Here is a 21,195-nt window from a genome sequence, read left to right as displayed (position 1 = left end):
ATGTATATTACTACAGCCATTGTGGAAAGCAGTTTGGAGATTTCTCAAAGAACTTATAACTACCATTCAATCCAGCAATCCCATTACTGGGTATGTGCCCAAAGGAATATAAATCATTCACCAAAATGTTCACCAACGACTTATACAAAAATGTTCAGAGTAACCTATTCAGATAACTCCAAACAAGAAACAGAACTGATGTACATCAATGGATAAAAATTGTGGTATATCCATAGAGTAAAACTACTAAGCAATTATAAAGGAATGAACTACTGATAAATGCAACAAGACGGATGATTTCAAAGGCATTATGCTGAGTTGTAAAGAAATCTACACAAAAGAGAACATATTGCATGACTCAGTTATATTAAGTTCAGTTGTAGGGGAGTTAACTGGAAAGGATCTTCCAGAAGTGCTAGTAACATATCTAAGTAGAAGTTTAGGTTATAAAGTTGTATGCATTTTTCAAAACTCATGGTATGCACACTTACTATTTGTGCATTTTATTTATGCAAACCTTACCTCAACAGAAAAAACTGTAAAAAAATAAATTGTTTAAGAAGTATGTCTGTTACAAACTACAGAGTAAAATTGGAGGAGCCAAGATGGCCGAATAGGAACAGCTCTGGTCTACAGCTCCCAGAGTGAGCTACACAGAAGATGGGTGATTTCTGCATTTCCATCTGAGGTACCCGGTTCATCTCACTGGGGAGTGCCAGACAGTGGGTGCTGGACAGTGGGTTCGCGCACCGTGCGCGAGCCGAAGCAGGGCGAGGCACTGCCTCACTTGGGAAGCACAAGGGTCAGGGAGTTCCCTTTCCGAGTCAAAGAAAGGGGTGACGGACGCACCTGGAAAATCGGGTCACTCCCACCCGAATATTGAGCTTTTCGGACAGGCTTAAAAAACGGCGCACCACGAGATTATATCCCACACCTGGCTCGGAGGGTCCTACACCCACGGAGTCTCGCTGATTGCTAGCACAGCAGTCTGAGATCAAACTGCAAGGCGGCAGCGAGGCTGGGGGAGGGGCGCCCACCATTGCCCAGGCTTGCTTAGGTAAACAAAGCAGCCCGGAAGCTCGAACTGGGTGGAGCCCACCACAGCTCAAGGAGGCCTGCCTGCCTCTGTAGGCTCCACCTCTGGGGGCAGGGCACAGACAAACAAAAAGACAGCAGTAACCTCTGCAGACTTAAATGTCCCTGTCTGACAGCTTTGAAGAGAGCAGTGGTTCTCCCAGCACGCAGATGGAGATCTGAGAACGGGCAGACTGCCTCCTCAAGTGGGTCCCTGACCCCTGACCCCCGAGCAGCCTAACTGGGAGGCACCCCCCAGCAGGGGCACACTGACACCTCACACGGCAGGGCATTCCAACAGACCTGCAGCTGAGGGTCCTGTCTGTTAGAAGGAAAACTAACAAACAGAAAGGACAGCCACACCAAAAACCCATCTGAACATCACCATCATCAAAGACCAAAAGTATATAAAACCACAAACATGGGGAAAAAACAGAACAGAAAAACTGGAAACTCTAAAACGCAGAGCGCCTCTCCTCCTCCAAAGGAACGCAGTTCCTCACCAGCAACAGAACAAAGCTGGATGGAGAATGACTTTGACGAGCTGAGAGAAGAAGGCTTCAGAAGATCAAATTACTCTGAGCTACGGGAGGACATTCAAACCAAAGGCAAAGAAGTTGAAAACTTTGAAAAAAATTGAGAAGAATGTATAACTAGAATAACCAATACAGAGAAGTGCTTAAAGGAGCTGATGCAGCTGAAAACCAAGGCTCGAGAACTACGTGAAGAATGCAGAAGCCTCAGGAGCCGATGCGATCAACTGGAAGAAAGGGTATCAGCAATGGAAGATGAAATGAATGAAATGAAGCGAGAAGGGAAGTTTAGAGAAAAAAGAATAAAAAGAAATGAGCAAAGCCTCCAAGAAATATGGGACTATGTGAAAAGACCAAATCTACGTCTGATTGGTGTACCTGAAAGTGATGGGGAGAATGGAACCAAGTTGGAAAACGCTCTGCAGGATATTATCCAGGAGAACTTCCCCAATCTAGCAAGGCAGGCCAACGTTCAGATTCAGGAAATACAGAGAACGCCACAAAGATACTCCTCGAGAAGAGCAACTCCAAGACACATAATTGTCAGATTCACCAAAGTTGAAATGAAGGAAAAAATGTTAAGGGCAGCCAGAGAGAAACGTCGGGTTACCCTCAAAGGGAAGCCCATCAGACTAACAGCGGATCTCTCGGCAGAAACCCTACAAGCCAGAAGAGAGTGGGGGCCAATATTCAACATTCTTAAAGAAAAGAATTTTCAACCCAGAATTTCATATCCAGCCAAACTAAGCTTCATAAGTGAAGGAGAAATTAAATACTTCACAGACAATCAAATGCTGAGAGATTTTGTCACCACCAGGCCTGCCCTAAAAGAGCTCCTGAAGGAAGCGCTAAACGTGGAAAGGAACAACCGGTACCAGCCGCTGCAAAATCATGCCAAAATGTAAAGACCATCGAGACTAGGAAGAAACTGCATCAACTAACGAGCAAAATCACCAGCTAACATCATAATGACAGGATCAAATTCACACATAACAATATTAACTTTAAATGTAAATGGACTAAATGCTCCAATTAAAAGACACAGACTGGCAAATTGGATAAAGAGTCAAGACCCATCAGTGTGCTGTATTCAGGAAACCCATCTCACGTGCAGAGACACACATAGGCTCAAAATAGAAGGATGGAGGAAGATCTACCAAGCAAATGGAAAACTAAAAAAGGCAGGGGTTGCAATCCTAGTTTCTGATAAAACAGACTTTAAACCAACAAAGATCAAAAGAGACAAAGAAGGCCATTACATAATGGTAAAGGGATCAATTCAACAAGAAGAGCTAACTAGCCTAAATATATATGCACCCAATACAGGAGCACCCAGATTCATAAAGCAAGTCCTGAGTGACCTACAAAGAGACTTAGACTCCCACACATTAATAATGGGAGACTTTAACACCCCACTGTCAACATTAGACAGATCAATGAGACAGAAAGTCAACAAGGATACCCAGGAATTGAACTCAGCTCTGCACCAAGCAGACCTAATAGACATCTACAGAACTCTCCACCCCAAATCAACAGAATATACATTTTTTTCAGCACCACACGACACCTATTCCAAAATTGACCACATATTTGGAAGTAAAGCACTCCTCAGCAGATGTAAAAGAACAGAGATTATAACAAACTATCTCTCAGACCACAGTGCAATCAAACTAGAACTCAGGATTAAGAATCTCACTCAAAACCGCTCAACTACATGGAAACTGAACAACCTGCTCCTGAATGACTACTGGATACATAACAAGATGAAGGCAGAAATAAAGATGTTCTTTGAAACCAACGAGAACAAAGACACAACATACCAGTATCTCTGGGACGCATTCAAAGCAGTGTGTAGAGGGAAATTTATAGCAGTAAATGCCCACAAGAGAAAGCAGGAAAGATCCAAAATTGACACCCTAACATCACAATTAAAAGAACTAGAAAAGCAAGACCAAACACATTCAAAAGCTAGCAGAAGGCAAGAAATAACTAAAATCAGAGCAGAACTGAAGGAAATAGAGACACAAAAAACCCTTCAAAAAATTAATGAATCCAGGAGCTGGTTTTTTGAAAGGATCAACAAAATTGATAGACCGCTAGCAAGACTAATGAAGAAAAAAAGAGAGAAGAATCAAATAGACACAATAAAAAATGATAAAGGGGATATAACCACCGATCCCACAGAAATACAAACTACCATCAGAGAATACTACAAACACCTCTACGCAAATAAACTAGAAAATCTAGAAGAAATGGATAAATTCCTCGACACATACACTCTCCCAAGACTAAACCAGGAAGAAGTTGAATCTCTGAATAGACCAATAACAGGAGCTGAAATTGTGGCAATAATCAATAGTTTACCAACCAAAAAGAGTCCAGGACCAGATGGATTCACAGCCGAATTCTACCAGAGGTGCAAGGAGGAACTGGTACCATTCCTTCTGAAACTATTCCAATCAATAGAAAAAGAGGGAATCCTCCCTAACTCATTTTATGAGGCCAGCATCATCCTGATATGAAAGCCGGGCAGAGACACAACCAAAAAAGAGAATTTTAGACCAATATCCTTGATGAACATTGCTGCAAAAATCCTCAATAAAATACTGGCAAACCGAATCCAGCAGCACATCAAAAAGCTTATCCACCATGATCAAGTGGGCTTCATCCCTGGGATGCAAGGCTGGTTCAATATACGCAAATCAATAAATGTAATCCAGCATATAAACAGAACCAATGACAAAAACCACATGATTATCTCAATAGATGCAGAAAAGGCCTTTGACAAAATTCAACAACCCTTCATGCTAAAAACTCTCAATAAATTAGGTATTGATGGGACGTATTTCAAAATAATAAGAGCTATCTATGACAAACCCACAGCCAATATCATACTGAATGGGCAAAAACTGGAAGCATTCCCTTTGAAAACTGGCACAAGACAGGGATGCCCTCTCTCACCACTCCTATTCAACATAGTGTTGGAAGTTCTGGCCAGGGCAATTAAGCAGGAGAAGGAAATAAAGGGTATTCAGTTAGGAAAAGAGGAAGTCAAATTGTCCCTGTTTGCAGACGACATGATTGTATATCTAGAAAACCCCATTGTCTCAGCCCAAAATCTCCTTAAGCTGATAAGCAACTTCAGCAAAGTCTCAGGATACAAAATCAACATACAAAAATCACAAGCATTCTTATACACCAACAACAGACAAACAGAGAGCAAAATCATGAGTGAACTCCCATTCACAATTGCTTCAAAGAGAATAAAATACCTAGGAATCCAACTTACAAGGGATGTGAAGGACCTCTTCAAGGAGAACTACAAACCACTGCTCAAGGAAATAAAAGAGGATACAAACAAATGGAAGAACATTCCATGCTCATGGGTAAGAAGAATCAATATCGTGAAAATGGCCATACTGCCCAAGGTAATTTACAGATTCAATGCCATCCCCATCAAGCTACCAATGACTTTCTTCACAGAATTCGAAAAAACTACTTTAAAGTTCATATGGAACCAAAAAAGAGCCCGCATCGCCAAGTCATCCTAAGCCAAAAGAACAAAGCTGGAGGCATCACACTACCTGACTTCAAACTATACTACAAGGCTACAGTAACCAAAACAGCATGATACTGTTACCAAAACAGAGATATAGATCAATGGAACAGAACAGACCCCTCAGAAATAACGCCGCATATGTACAACCATCTGATCTTTGACAAACCTGAGAAAAACAAGCAATGGGGAAAGGATTCCCTATTTAATAAATGGCGCTGGGAAAACTGGCTAGCCATATGTAGAAAGCTGAAACTGGATCCCTTCCTTACACCTTACACAAAAATCAATTCAAGATGGATTAAAGACTTAAACGTTAGACCTAAAACCATAAAAACCCTAGAAGAAAACCTAGGCATTACCATTCAGGACATAGGCATGGGCAAGGACTTCATGTCCAAAACACCAAAAGAAATGGCAACAAAAGACAAAATTGACAAATGGGATCTCATTAAACTAAAGAGCTTCTGCACAGCAAAAGAAACTACCATCAGAGTGAACAGGCAACCTACAAAATGGGAGAAAATTTTCGCAACCTACTCATCTGACAAAGGGCTAATATCCAGAATCTACAATGAACTCAAACAAATTTACAAGAAAAAAACAAACCACCCCATCAAAAAGTGGGCGAAGGACATGAACAGACACTTCTCAAAAGAAGACATTTATGCAGCCAAAAAACACATGAAAAAATGCTCACCATCACTGGCCATCAGAGAAATGCAAATCAAAACCACAGTGAGATACCATCTCACACCAGTTAGAATGGCAATCATTAAAAAGTCAGGAAACAACAGGTGCTGGAGAGGATGTGGAGAAATAGGAACACTTTTACACTGTTGGTGGGACTGTAAACTAGTTCAACCATTGTGGAAGTCAGTGTGGCAATTCCTCAGGGATCTAGAATTAGAAATACCATTTGACCCAGCCATCCCATTACTGGGTATGTACCCAAAGGACTATAAATCATGCTGCTATAAAGACACATGCACCCATATGTTTACTGCGGCATTATTCACAATAGCAAAGACTTGGAACCAACCCAAATGTCCAACAATGATAGACTGGATTAAGAAAATGTGGCACATATACACCATGGAATACTATGCAGCCATAAAAAATGATGAGTTCATGTCCTTTGTAGGGACATGGATGAAATTGGAAATCATCATTCTCAGTAAACTACTGCAAGAACAAAAATCCAAACACCGCATATTCTCACTCATAGGTGGGAATTGAACAATGAGATCACATGGACACAGGAAGGGGAATATCACACTCTGGGGACTGTGGTGGGGTGGGGGTAGGGGGGAGGGATAGCATTGGGAGATACACCTAATGCTAGATGACGAGTTGGTGCAGCGCACCAGCATGGCACATGTATACATATGTAACTAACCTGCGCAATGTGCACATGTACCCTAAAACTTAAAGTATAATAAAAAAAATAACAAAAAAAAATAAAAATAAAAATAAATTCAATTATTTGGGGGGAATATATGCTTTAAATCAAGTATATGAAGGATCAGTATGAACCTTACATTTACCCACAAGTCTACATGGTGTGCTCCCTCATGTCCTTCAGGTCTCTGCTAAAATGCAATCTTAACAGAAAGGCCTGGCAGTCCTATTGTAACAAACAATCCCACTCCCCTCACTTTCTATCCTTATGTCCTACTTAATATTTACTCGTAACTTTTATTGCCACCACAAGAGTATATTTGTTTATTATCTGTCTCTCCGCCACTGGAATATAAACTCCAAGGGAGAAAGCATTTTTCTTGTTTTCTGTTATCTTCAGAGCCTAGGACAATGATTGACCCATAACTGGTACTCAATATTTGTTGAATAAACAACTGAATGAATATTACCAAGGATGTGAATTACACCTGGGGCAAACACTATAAAGGGCTTTATTGGGGGAAAGAAAGAGCATTCTGAACACATTATTCCATTTACAACATGGGATGTTCCACTCAATTGTAATCAACTTGTGATTTGAAGTAGATTTTAATGGAAAGGTGTCTGGGCTTTAAGGAATAGACAAAAAAAAAATACACTAATCAGAGTCTCCCTTCTGTCATCTCTCTACCTTTTGGTCTCTACCCACAGGGAGGCTACCATTTCCACTGAAAGCCAACAACTCCACATATCTGGTCTCTCTCCAGCCCTTACTTGATACTCCCTCAGTAAGGAAGAGTGACTAATCTGATAAACCAGTTTGATATTCATTTGGCCATGTTTTACTTGAGAGTGACAGCACTGAGGGAAGCTGGCTCATGTTCTTGCCAGCTTTTTGTCTCCTTTTTTTTTTTAAGGAGACCTATTAGGACTTGACTTTCTCAGTGCCACCTCTGATTAGCTGTGTGAGGCAGGCCTATAGGCCTTATTCACACTTCACATTGGGTAAGGAGTCTAACAATCTGCTTTGCAAATCCAAGTCAAGACTCTACAGGTGACCTGAATAGATTCAGGATGGGTTTCAGGCCTAAGCCATGTTCTCCAGTACATTTTTTACAAAAGAGCCTTGAATTGAGGGTTATAGGATACTTGCATAGATTAATAAAGTTTCTACCAATGTCCCATTTGAACAGTAATCACTGAATATATACTATATTAGTCAAAATACTAGATGAGTTCTGAAACTCTACCTCAAGAAAAATATAAAACATAAAAATAATGTAATACTCCATTGGTGCTAAATAACTTATTTTAATAAATTTATCTTTAATACAAGTGTAAAACAAGAGTCCTTCCATTTCAACTACAGTTAAACCCAAACTTCAAAACTGGTCAATAATTAACAATGTATTAATTTTGAAAAGTTTTTAACTGTAAGAGTATCAAATATAATACAGAGCTCTTAAATACTTAAAGCTTTCTGTCACAATATTAAAAATAAAACTTCTTAGCATTCCAAGACTATGAAAAGTGCCCCCTCCCAATTTTTTAAGCAAGTAATAGTATCTGCTGGTGTTTATATTTGTTAAAAATTTAAAATAACAACAACAAAAAAAAAACTTCTAACTTGAATGTGATGTGACTTGAGTACTTCTAAACCATCGAAAATACCTGATACGGGGAGTAGGTTCATGGTTTTGGTAAAAGAAACTATGTCACAGAGTTTTAATATTATAACTGGACTTCTAAATCATAAAGTAAGAAAATTAACATCATTTAGTATCTTTTCTTGTTTGTTTTTTATTTTGCTAAGAAGGAACCAGATTTTATATCATCATTCTTCATCTAAATGGACTGCCATATGAAGTTCTGGTTTCTCTGTTTCTTCTTGGTTAGCTGGTTACTACCAAATGCCTAAGGACAATTCTCAGAGCATTTCCACATGAAGGTGATTAGTTTTCATTTAATAAAATTAATAACACATTACATGTAGATGAAAATATAACAAAACCATACGAAAGCTTGTCAGAGATATTCAACTAGAAAACTAAAACAGTAGCCACTAGAAAAAAGACATAGTGGAAAAATTTTTGAACGGATATGCTTTTTGTTGAATAATTACAGTAATTACTACCAATATATTCAGACCAACAAAGATTAGAAAGAACATGCAAAATGCTGAGAAAATTTCTCCTACAATTAAAACAAATGTGTTTTTATGAGAGAGAAAAAAATAAGTCAAGCTCCTAAAATGAAAATTACAAAACATAGGATTAACAATTTATTAAAAATTACACCCTTGATTTTTTTGAGGCCAAAAAAAGTAGTTTTTTTAAAACAAGGGCATGAAAAAGACTTCAGATTAAGACTCATACTCTGTTCTAAATGAAAAGTAGTAAAACTACTTCTAGTAGAAAATACCTGCTATGGAAAAAAAATTTCAGATATTTTCCATTTGATGTAGGTATTAATAAAAAATATGATGTTTATATCTAAAATATAAACTAGCAATTTATTTTCATTTATAATATAAAGTGTTTTAGGAAAAGTTTACTCTTCTCAGTGTTCAAAATAAAATAGGAATTGTTCTCCATACCTAGCAATTTTAATGATAATGTCAAGTAAAAATTTAATTCTGCTGAACTAAAGCTCAAATAGATTCAAATTTTAAAAATATGAAAAATCTACATTTTTAAAAGCTTAAAATTTTTGTTACTTTGCAATGACAGATCTGCTTTTTCTAACATTTAAAAAATTTTGTCTTCTTTTATTAATATAAAACTATTCAAATAATCACAACAGAATCTCTTATACCGGTAAAGCATAATCACATGATACACTCGTAACACTCTACAAATACAATCCAGAAAGGGGAAGTCTCCCTCAAACAAAGAATTTCTTTCTTTCTGTCACCTCCATTCCATATATATAGTCTTCATTTCACATCACATACATAGAAAAATTAGCACAATATAACAGGTAGATAAGAAAAAAAATTTTTGGCCTTGTAGAGCTCATCACGTAAATTTATTCATTCTTCTTAGTATGTTTCTTTTTAACATTATCTGAGGCAACATCTACCGGCTTTGAGGCCAATGACCCAACGCCATTGGAAGGTGACTTTGCTTCACTTTTCTTCTCACATGATGAAAACGGCTGCTGCCAGCCAAATAGCATCCAACTCAATGTATCCTCAAAAGGAGCAAATGTCATAGTAGAAGTCTGTGTAGTCATCATGGTTATCTGGGGGAAAAAAGTTTAATTTTGAATTTAAATACAAATGATTTCTGTTTCTCAAGAGAGAGAAACAAAAGGAAAAAAAATCAAAATGCATTATTAATGTAATCTGCAGGGGAAGCAATCTAAGCTAGATTCTGGTAAAATCTCTGTTCTCCATGAGATTCTACTTAATGGAAAATAACACAACTCATTAAAAATAATACAAGGTACCATATTTTGGGGTGCCAAATGAGTAGAATAACCACTTTCACAAAAATGCATTTAGTATTCAAAGGAAGTAAGATAAAATATCAACATCACTATGCATTTAACATGTGTCAGAACGAAGATAAGTGCTTTACATTGTCGTTCTCTTTAACTTTAACCCAACAACTATTCTATTATTACCCTCATCATTGAGATGTGGAACCAAGGCTCTGAGAGGTTAAATAACTTGCCCAAAATCACAAAGCTAATAAGTGGTAAAGAAGTTTGCAATATCCAGATTCTGAGTTCGATTACTAAATACACTGACTATCATCATCTAAAGTCACAGACTTTTAGTGACTTGCAGAATGCTACCCTCAACAGATTGTAGAATGTCCCCCAATTTTTTCCACATATATTTTTATATAAAGGAACCAAGACCTCAAGGGGTAGAGAGTGCTCCTATTCCTTTATGTGGCAAAATGCACAGTGTTCACAGATGTTTAGATATACTCAAGAAATTAGGCTAATGCCAAAATAAATCTGGGAGGAGAACTTTCAAGTCTAGAACAGCTCCAAAGAATCCAGGAATTTCCCCAAGAGTCAGTTCCTCCAGAACACAGATAATGACTTAAACTAGAAATTCTGGGGATCAAATTTTCAAAGAAGACCCCTACATAACCTACCTGCTTGGGGAAAATGGTATCAAGAATAAATTCTTACTAGTTGCAATACAGTGTGGGGAGGTGGAAGAAAAGTATATATTCATCACAAAAGGAATAGATAAGTTAAATGCATGCTATGCAATATTTAGAATAGAAAAGAAAAAGTGAAAAATTCTTAGAACATACTGTTAGGTGAAAATGAGACACAAAACAAGAGCCATAGTGTACTATCATTTATATAAATTAAAAACACATCCACACACAACATTGTGAGAGTACTAAACGTCACTGAAATGTGTATTTTAAAACAGCTAATTTTATGTGAATTTGAACTCAATTTTTAAAAAAAAAATTTTTTTAAATACATGCCCATGGACTTCAGGCCAGTCATGATTAAATAGCTTATATCAGGACTCAGTCTCTCACCAAAATCAACAAAAGACAGAAGTACATAAAGTAACTGCTAAAAGACACTGGGAAACAACTGAAATAGGCAGAACCTGATGGGGCTACTATTCAAGAGAAAAAAAGCTGAATAAAGTGAGTTCCACATTTACCCTTGCTTTTTCTTGTGAAGATATGTACCTAAATTCACAGCACAGGGGAATAGAAAGCAGAAGTCCAGGGGGGATAAGGAGCCATAGGTTGGAATGTGAGAAGGCCAAAGCTGTAAGGACCTGAGGTCAATACAGCCCAAAGAGGAGGATGTCGCATGGAAGTGAGCCCTAAAATCCTCGTGCAATTTGCCCTGGGGGAATTTACCAATCCCTAAACTCTGCATACATAAGAAGGATGAGAATCCAAAAGCCTAGCAGACAGCAATAGCTGAGAGGCCAAAGAGCTGAGCAGATACTTTAGCAGCCAGCTGCCTGGTACTGGGAAGATAAGTTGGAATTCAAGGTCAGACAAGGTGAAACTGCCCAGGGATGTACTTCAGGCTTAAAGTAAGACCCCAAAAGGGTTACACTGTAGAAGGGCAAACTGAAGTACAATACAGCACTAAGTCTAAAACTAACAATATGATTAAAATATTCTGCTTGTGCATTAACTGTCTTCCAGAAGATGTTGAATGTAATCCCTGCCCTCAAGGAGCTTACAGACTAGCCAGAGACAGGCAAGTAAATCAGTAATTACCAAACAGTAAAGAAGAGAAAGGGCAGTAATAGAGATTTCCCAGGAACATTTAAATAATAGATATAGATCTGGAAGTCATTTATCATACAAGCGAAAGGTAAATGCATAAATGAGTGTACACACCTGGAGAGAATGTAAAACGAGGAGTCCAAATATAACATTAACCTCCAAGTTTATGCCATTATTGGATAAGATCTAAGGACTTTTTTATATTAAATTATTCCTTAGAATAAATAGTTACAATGAGATACACTAGCATAATTACCTTGGTCATAGCTTGACTTAAGGAACTGCAAATAAAAGATAATAGAATTCCAATCAAAAACAATGGTCTACTGTCAGGAAAACAGCAACGTCTTTTTTACAAAATCCAAAAGAGAAGAGTGTCAGGGTTTAAAATATTTTCTGAGAACATGAACTATAATAAGTATTTTTCAAACTCAAGTGTTTTAATAGAATCTCCACTCCCAAAAGACTCATCACTCAGTTGAGAAGTATTGCTGGCATCAGAAATTACAGCTGAGATAGACACATGAAGTTCAAGGACAAAATTTTGTGAATTCAGCCTCTTATCAGACCTTGATTTAACAAGGTGACAAATGTACTTGTGACAAATAGAATAAATCCTTATTCTTTTACAAATAAAATATAAAACTGTCTCCTTATTTAGCAAACTATTAAAAGAAAAAGTATATTACCTAAATTAAATAGTATTTGGCTTCATAGTCTCTTACTTAAAAAGGAGATGAAACAAAAGAAAATAGAAGCCCTAAAAATATTTTGGCATTTTTAACATATCCCAAAATATAAATTAATTCAGGTAAAGAAATTTGTTTAAAGCTCTGCCACATTCTTTATATCTCAAGTTACACCATTTCAAAATGTCCAGTAAAATGTGACACACAATATGGCACTTATACCTACTTTGATATTCTCTATAGTGCCTAGCACTGAGAATACACTGAATGAATAAATATAACATCTACTTCATAGCAATAATTCAAAGCATACTGAAATATATCTATAAAAGAAAAATTTGCACAATTAATCTCTCTCTTCATCCAGAACATACTTCTTCCTGTCTCCACCTGCCCAAATTCAAATAATCCTTTTCAGTGTAACTCGTGTCTATTCCAATAGGCCCTTATCAGTATCTTCCAATGAAAGTCACCTGGCCCTAAAATGAATCCCTAACGGCACATGGCATATTCAAGTAGGTTTTCTGATCACTCTATGCTTTCTCCATAGATTATGTTATTCCCTCAGACTTCGCTAATTATTAACATGAATGATTCAAATAAATTAAAATCATAGGGTTTACATTTTTACAAATGTAAAAAAAAACCTAGGTGAATGAACTGTTCATTTCTGGTATATATCTTTAAGTGTGGAATAATATTCAATGCATCAATGAATAAAATGTATACATTATACCTTATTCAATGTATATCTTTAAGTGTGGAATAATTAAATAAACCTGTGAAAGAGCATTTTGATCATTTATTAGTCAGTCAACAAATATATATTAAAAATCAACTATATACACTAGACTCAATGCTAAGGATGCAGTGATGAATACTGCAAACTTAGTACCTCTCCTCATAAAGTTTAAAAGTCAAGTTAGCATATCTCCTGCTCCTTTTTAGACAATAATGTCTTAAGAATAGGATTTGGGTCTTATTCAATGTTTATATAATCATTCATATCCCCAAAAGCACCTAAGAACAGTGTCCCTCATTCATGTGTTCAATAATACATCTTATTCAATACATCAATGAATAAAATGTATACATTACACCTTATTCAATGTATATATGATTATTTGGATCCCCAAAAGGGCCTAAGAACAGTGTCCCTCATTCATGTATTAAACAATACATTACCTGAAGACACTTCTCATCAGTATTCAGCACATCTACGCTCTTTAAAACTATCTCCTCCTCCTTAAAACTCTCATCAACCACCCCTTTTCCATTTCCCATTCTAGATTTCCCTTCTCTAAATATTAGAGAACTTTATGGCTCTGTCCTCACTCCTGTCTCATTCCATGCTTTTCTTCCTATAACTGCCTCCCTAAATTAGCTTATAAATTGCAATAAACAATAAACACAATTGCAATAAAAATATCAACATGGTTTTTTACAGAGCTAGACAAACTATTAAAGTTCATATCAATATACAAGAATAGCTAAAAATATATTGAAAAAACACAAACACAGAAGAAATCCAGAAAACACTGAAAAAGAACATTTGCAGGAGTGCCTGATTCTCCACAGCCTCATCAACAGAATGTGTAGCCAGACTTGTAAATTTTTCGTTTGCGGGAAGGTTGCTTGAGTCCAAGTTTGAGACCAGCCTGGGCAACATAGTGAAACCAAAATTGTACAAAAAATACAAAAATTAGCCAGGCATGGTGGCACACACCTGTAGTCCCAACTACTCAGGAGGCTGAGGTGGGAAGATCACTTGAGCCTGGGAAGTCAAGGCTGCAGTGAGCCGTGATCATGCCACTGCACTCCAGCCTGAGTGACAGAGCGAGACCCTGTCTCAAAACTAAAATAAAATACAAATTTAAAATTTTGTGCCAGTTTTGATGAATGAGAAATGGTATCTCAGTGTTATTTTAATTAATGTTTCTCAAGTATGAGTTCCACATTTTTTAATATGTTTGAGGAACATTTCCTGATCTTTTCTGTGTGAATTGTCTGTTGATAACTTTCCTTTAACTTTTCCATCAGGTTTTGGTCCTTTATCCCTTAATTTTTAAGAGGTTGTTATATATCAGGCATACCAGCCCTCTGATATATGTTGTAAGTATTTTATCACAGCTATTTGATAGCTATATTTTGACTTTGTCCACAGTGGCTTTTGCCATGCAACTTTAAAAAACAATTTATGGAGTCAAATTTATCAATATTTTCTTTATAGTAAAGGAAGAACCAAGTAAACCCCAAAGTAAACAGAAGGAAGGATATAAAAAAGACCTGAAATTAATGAAATCTAAAACAGAAAAACCAATGAAACCAAAAGCTGGGTCTTTGAAACAAATCCATGAAACTGACAAACCTCTAGGTAGAGTGATTTTAAAAGACAGAAAAAGAAAACACAGATCACCAATATCAGGAATGAAAGTGGAGACATTACCACAAATTCTACAGACATTAAAGGGATAACAAAAAACTATTATCAACAATTTCATGCCAACAATAAAAAACTTAAGTGAAATGGCAAATTCCGTAATAAATACAACTTAGTAAAACAGACACAAGTAAAATAGAAAATCTGCATAGCCCTATATCTATGTAAGAAATTGTTATCAAAAACCTTCCTTTAAAGAAAATTCTAGGCCCAAATGACTTCATTAGTGAATCTATCAAACATTTACCAATAAATAATATCAAACCTACATAAACTCAGAGATTAGAGAAATTATTTTCCATTTATTTAATGAGCCCAATTTTATGTTAATACAAAAAGGAGAAAAAAATTACAGAGAAAACTACAAACCAATATCCATTAGCACACTGGAAAAAAATCCTTGAAAATATTTTAAAAAATGGATTCAGTAATATGCAAAAAGGATACCGCATCATGACTAAATGGGGTTTATCACAGGAATGAAAGATTTATGTAACATTTTAATAATCAATCAATGTAATCCACTATATTAACAGAATATAAGAGAAAACCCCTATGATTATTTTAAATGATACAGAAGAAAGCATTTGACAAAATCCCACACCCATTCATGATAAACACTTTCAGCAAACTAGAAATAAAAGAGAACTTCCTTAACCTCATAAAGGATATCTATAAGATGCTTAATAGCTAATATCTTATTTAAGTTAAAAGGCTGAATGTTTTCCCACTAAGGTCACAAACAAAACAAAGATGTCTACTCTCACCATTTCTCTTCAACATTGTACAGGACATTCTAGCCAATATAATAAGGCAAGGAAAAAAACAGCATCCGGGTTGAAAAGGAAAAAGTAAAACTATCTTTATCATAGACAAAACCATGTATATAGACAATGCTAAAGAATCTACACAAAAGCTACCAGAACCAACAGGCAATTTAGCAAGGTCACAGGATACAAGAACAATGTGTAAGATTATTCTTACAAGCAATGTACATAGAAGCAATGTAAAATTCCAAATTGAAATTTGAAAAACTACTATTTCTAAAGGCATCCAAAAATATGAACTACTTCAGGATAAATTTAAATTTAACAAGATACATATAAAACAATGAAGACCACAAAATAGTACTCCAAAAATTTAAAGGCCTAAATAACTGGAGAAACATACCATGTTCAGAGATCAACAGACTAAATCTTTTTAAGATCTGATTTCTTCCCAAATTAATCTATAGATGCAATCTCAAAAACAATTCCAGAAGGCGTTTTTTCCATAGGAAGTGACAACTTTATCATAAAACTTATTTAGAAATATAAAAGATGTAGACTATCCTAAGAAATATTGAGAAAATAAAGTTGGAGAAACTGTACTACTTGATTTTAAGACTTACTATAAAGTTATGGTAATTAAGACAGTTTAGTATTGGCTAGAAATAGACATATAAATCAATAGAACAGAATATAGTCTAGAAATAGACCCACATAGGTCAAGCCAACTGATTTTCAACAAAGGTGGCAAGATCATTCAATGAGGGAAAGAACTGTCTTTTCAACAAACAGTGTTGTAACAACTTCCTACTCATATGGAGGAAAAAAAAAAAACCTGACCCTTACCTTGTAGGACTCATAAAACTTAATTTGAAATGGTTCACAGACTCTAAAAGTAAAAAGGATGAGTTCATGTCCTTTGTAGGGACATAGATGAAGCTGGAAACCATCATTCTGAGCAAACGATCGCAAGGACAGAAAACTAAACACCGCATGTTCTCACTCATAGGTGGGAATTGAACAATGAGAACAATTGGACACAGGGTGGGGAACACCACACACCGGGGCCTGTCGTGGGGTGGGGGGAGGGGGGAGGGATAGCACTAAGAGATATACCTAATGTAAATGACTAGTTAATGGGTGCAGCACACCAACATGGCACATGTATACATATGTAACAAACCTGTATATTGTGCACATGTATCCCAGAACTTAAAGTATAATAATAAAAAAAAACAGAAAAAAAAGCAAAAATTATAAAACTTTTAGAAGAAACAGGTGAAAACTCTTCAAAACCTTGAGGAATAAAATAGTTTCTTAATAGGACACAAAAAGAAGGGCCATGAAAGGAAAATCTAGTAAAGTAAACTTCATCAAAATTTAAAACTTCAGCTCTTCTAAAGACAACACTAAACAAAGAAAAAGGAAGAGCATAAACTGGGAGAAAATTATTTGCAATACATATATCTCACCAAGGATTGACATCCTGAATATACAGAGAACTGTTACAACTCAATAATAATACAATTTTTAATGGACAAAATATTTAAACAGACACTATTCAAAAGATCACATGTGAGTGGCCAGTAAACACACGAAAAGACGCTCAAATCTCTAGCCATCACAGAAATGCAAAAGAAAACTATAATGCGATATCACTTCATACCTACAAAACGCTAAAATTAAAATGACTGATAATACCAAATAATTAACAAGGATCTAGGACAATCAGAACTCTCATACATTGCTAGTGGGAATGTAAAATGATACAACCATTTTGAAAAATAGTGTGGCAGTTTCTTAAAAAGTTAAACATATGCTTTTCAGATGACCTAGCAATTCTCCTCCTAGTTATTAAGTGAAACGAAAATACATGTCTGGCTGGGCACAGTGGCTCACGCCTGTAATTCCAGCACTGGGAGGCCGAGGCAGGCGGATCATGAGGTCAGGAGATTGAGACAATTCTGGCTAATATGGTGAAACCCCGTCTCTACTAAAAATATGAAAAATTAGCCAGGCGTGGTGGCATACACCTATATTCCCATCTACTCGAGAAGCTGAGGCAGGAGAATCACTTGAACCCATGCGGCGGAGGTTGCAGTGAGCCAAGATCACACCACTGCACTCCAGCCTGGGTGACAGAGCAAGACTCCGTCTCAAAAAAAATAAAAAAGAAAAAAAAGAAAATATGTGTCTGTGTACAGACATATATGTACACATATTCATAGCAGCTTTATTTATAACAACCTTATTCAAATAATCAAAAGCTGGAAATACACCAAAACCCATCAACAGATAACTGGAAAAACAAATTGTGGTACCTAATACTACTCAGGAATATGTAATTACATGGATAAATCTCAAAAACAAAATGAGTACATACTATATGACTCCATATGAAACTACAGAAAACACTAATCTGTAGTGATATAAAGTGGATAAATGGTATACTGGGGCTATGGGTAGTGGCTGGGATTTACTAGAGTAAGGTACAAGGAAATGCTCCAAAGTGATAGAAATGTTTCATACATTGACTGTGGTAGTAGTTACACAGGTATACAAATTTGTCAAAACTCATCAAAATGTACTCCTAGACTGAATGTACTTTATTATCCATGAATATAGTTTAATATGCATAAATTATACTTCTAAAAAGTTGACTTTTAAAAATTTTTAAAGGAGCTCATTTCTAATGATTTCGTCAATAAATATTAAATGCTACTTTGCTAAAGCATTTTTTAAATTGTAACTAAACCCCAAATAATTTTAATCTCAATTTGCAAAATAATCCACATTTTACAAATCTATAAACAAAAAAAGTTTCAGCATACAAATGCCTTAGAAAGAATTCAATTTGGTCCAATAATTTTATAGCCAGTTTCTTTAATCCATCTTGAATTGATTTTTGTATAAGGTGTAAGGAAGGGATCCAGTTTCAGCTTTCTACATATGGCTAGCCAGTTGTCCCAGAACCATTTATTAAATAGGGAATCCTTCCCCCATTGCTTGTTTTTCTCAGGTTTGTCAAAGATCAGACAGTTGTACATATGCGGCGTTATTTCTGAGGGGTCTGTTCTGTTCCATTGATCTATATCTCTGTTTTGGTAACAGTATCATGCTGTTTTGGTTACTGTAGCCTTGTAGTATAGTTTGAAGTCAGGTAGTGTGATGCCTCCAGCTTTGTTCTTTTGGCTTAGGATGACTTGGCGATGCGGGCTCTTTTTTGGTTCCATATGAACTTTAAAGTAGTTTTTTCGAATTCTGTGAAGAAAGTCATTGGTAGCTTGATGGGGATGGCATTGAATCTGTAAATTACCTTGGGCAGTATGGCCATTTTCACGATATTGATTCTTCTTACCCATGAGCATGGAATGTTCTTCCATTTGTTTGTATCCTCTTTTATTTCCTTGAGCAGTGGTTTGCAGTTCTCCTTGAAGAGGTCCTTCACATCCCTTGTAAGTTGGATTCCTAGGTATTTCATTCTCTTTGAAGCAATTGTGAATGGCAGTTCACTCATGATTTGGCTCTCTGTTTGTGTGTTGTTGGTGTATAAGAATGCTTGTGATTTTTGTACATTGATTTTGTATCCTGAGACTTTGCTGAAGTTGCTTATCAGCTTAAGGAGATTTCGGGCTGAGACAATGGGGTTTTCTAGATATACAATCATGTCGTCTGCAAACAGGGACAATTTGACTTCCTCTTTTCCTAACTGAATACCCTTTATTTCCTTCTCCTGCTTAATTGCCCTAGCCAGAACTTCCAACACTATGTTGAATAGGAGTGGTGAGAGAGGGCATCCCTGTCTTGTGCCAGTTTTCAAAGGGAATGCTTCCAGTTTTTGCCCATTCAGTATGATATTGGCTGTGGGTTTGTCATAGATAGCTCTTATTATTTTGAAATACGTCCCATCAATACCTAATTTATTGAGAGTTTTTAGCATGAAGGGTTGTTGAATTTTGTCAAAGGCCTTTTCTGCATCTATTGAGATAATCATGTGGTTTTTGTCATTGGTTCTGTTTATATGCTGGATTACATTTATTGATTTGCGTATATTGAACCAGCCTTGCATCCCAGGGATGAAGCCCACTTGATCATGGTGGATAAGCTTTTTGATGTGCTGCTGGATTCGGTTTGCCAGTATTTTACTGAGGATTTTTGCATCAATGTTCATCAAGGATATTGGTCTAAAATTCTCTTTTTTGGTTGTGTCTCTGCCCAGCTTTCGTATCAGGATGATGCTGGCCTCATAAAATGAGTAAGGGAGGATTCCCTCTTTTTCTATTGATTGGAATAGTTTCAGAAGGAATGGTACCAGTTGCTCCTTGTACCTCTGGTAGAATTCGGCTGTGAATCTGTCTGGTCCTGGACTCTTTTTGGTTGGTAAGCTATTGATTATTGCCACAATTTCAGCTCCTGTTATTGTCTATTCAGAGATTCAACTTCTTCCTGGTTTAGTCTTGGGAGAGTGTATGTGTCGAGGAATTTATCCATTTCTTCTAGATTTTCTAGTTTATTTGCATAGAGGTGTTTGTAGTATTCTCTGATGGTAGTTTGTATTTCTGTGGGATTGGTGCTAAACGTTAGACCTAAAAGCATAAAAACCCTAGAAGAAAACCTAGGCATTACCATTCAGGACATAGGCATGGGCAAGGACTTCATGTCTAAAACACCAAAAGCAATGGCAACCAAAGCCAAAATTGACAAATGAGAGCTAATTAAACTAAAGAGCTTCTGCACAGCAAAAGAAACTACCATCACAGTGAACAGGCAACCTACAAAATGGGAGAAAATTTTCACAACCTACTCATCTGACAAAGGGCTAATATCCAGAATCTACAATGAACTCAAACAAATTTACAAGAAAAAAACAAACAACCCCATCAAAAAGTGGGCAAAGGACATGAACAGACACTTCTCAAAAGAAGACATTTATGCAGCCAAAAAACACATGAAAAAATGCTCACCATCACTGGCCATCAGAGAAATGCAAATCAAAACCACAATGAGATACCATCTCACACCACTTAGAATGGCAATCATTAAAAAGTCAGGAAACAACAGGTGCTGGAGAGGATGTGGAGAAATAGGAACACTTTTACACTGTTGGTGGGACTGTAAACTAGTTCAACCATTGTGGAAGTCAGTGTGGCCATTCCTCAGGGATCTAGAATTAGAAATACCATTTGACCCAGCCATCCCATTACTGGGTATATACCCAAAGGACTATAAATCATGCTGCTATAAAGACACATGCACATGTATGTTTATTGCGGCATTATTCACAATAGCAAAGACTTGGAACCAACCCAAATGTCCAACAATGATAGACTGGATTAAGAAAATGTGGCACATATACACCATGGAATACTATGCAGCCATAAAAAATGATGAGTTCATGTCCTTTGTAGGGACATGGATGAAATTGGAAATCATCATTCTCAGTAAACTATCGCAAGGACAAAAAACCAAACACCGCATATTCTCACTCATAGGTGGGAACT

The 21,195-nt window shown here is 36.5% G+C and overlaps 1 protein-coding gene across 3 annotated transcripts in view, besides 2 other annotated features; it reads right to left on the bottom strand.

Moving 5' to 3' along the window:
• Positions 274-924: an enhancer, noted in NCBI's record as "H3K27ac-H3K4me1 hESC enhancer chr9:108545029-108545679 (GRCh37/hg19 assembly coordinates)". NCBI's record gives its function as "activates a minimal SCP1, AML or CMV promoter by ChIP-STARR-seq in naive H9 embryonic stem cells {active_cell/tissue: H9 hESC(naive)}" and the evidence as "EXISTENCE:reporter gene assay evidence [ECO:0000049][PMID:30033119]".
• Positions 925-1,575: an enhancer, noted in NCBI's record as "H3K27ac-H3K4me1 hESC enhancer chr9:108544378-108545028 (GRCh37/hg19 assembly coordinates)". NCBI's record gives its function as "activates a minimal SCP1, AML or CMV promoter by ChIP-STARR-seq in primed H9 embryonic stem cells {active_cell/tissue: H9 hESC(primed)}" and the evidence as "EXISTENCE:reporter gene assay evidence [ECO:0000049][PMID:30033119]".
• The window catches only part of TMEM38B (transmembrane protein 38B), an 82,089-nt gene continuing 67,936 nt past the window's right edge, over positions 7,043-21,195 (bottom strand). For all 3 annotated transcript variants that reach the window (NM_018112.3, XM_011518832.4, XM_005252075.3), the window contains one exon: positions 7,043-9,807. In NM_018112.3, coding sequence (NP_060582.1) covers positions 9,592-9,807 — 216 coding nt within the window. In that variant the 3' untranslated portion in view covers positions 7,043-9,591. The remainder of the gene's footprint in view (positions 9,808-21,195) is intronic.

The sequence above is a fragment of the Homo sapiens genome, chromosome 9 (assembly GCF_000001405.40).
Source record: "Homo sapiens chromosome 9, GRCh38.p14 Primary Assembly".
Lineage (NCBI taxonomy): Eukaryota > Metazoa > Chordata > Mammalia > Primates > Hominidae > Homo > Homo sapiens.
The sequence above is the reverse complement of the archived record's forward strand: the minus strand, read 5'-3'. Positions and strand labels throughout refer to the sequence as shown.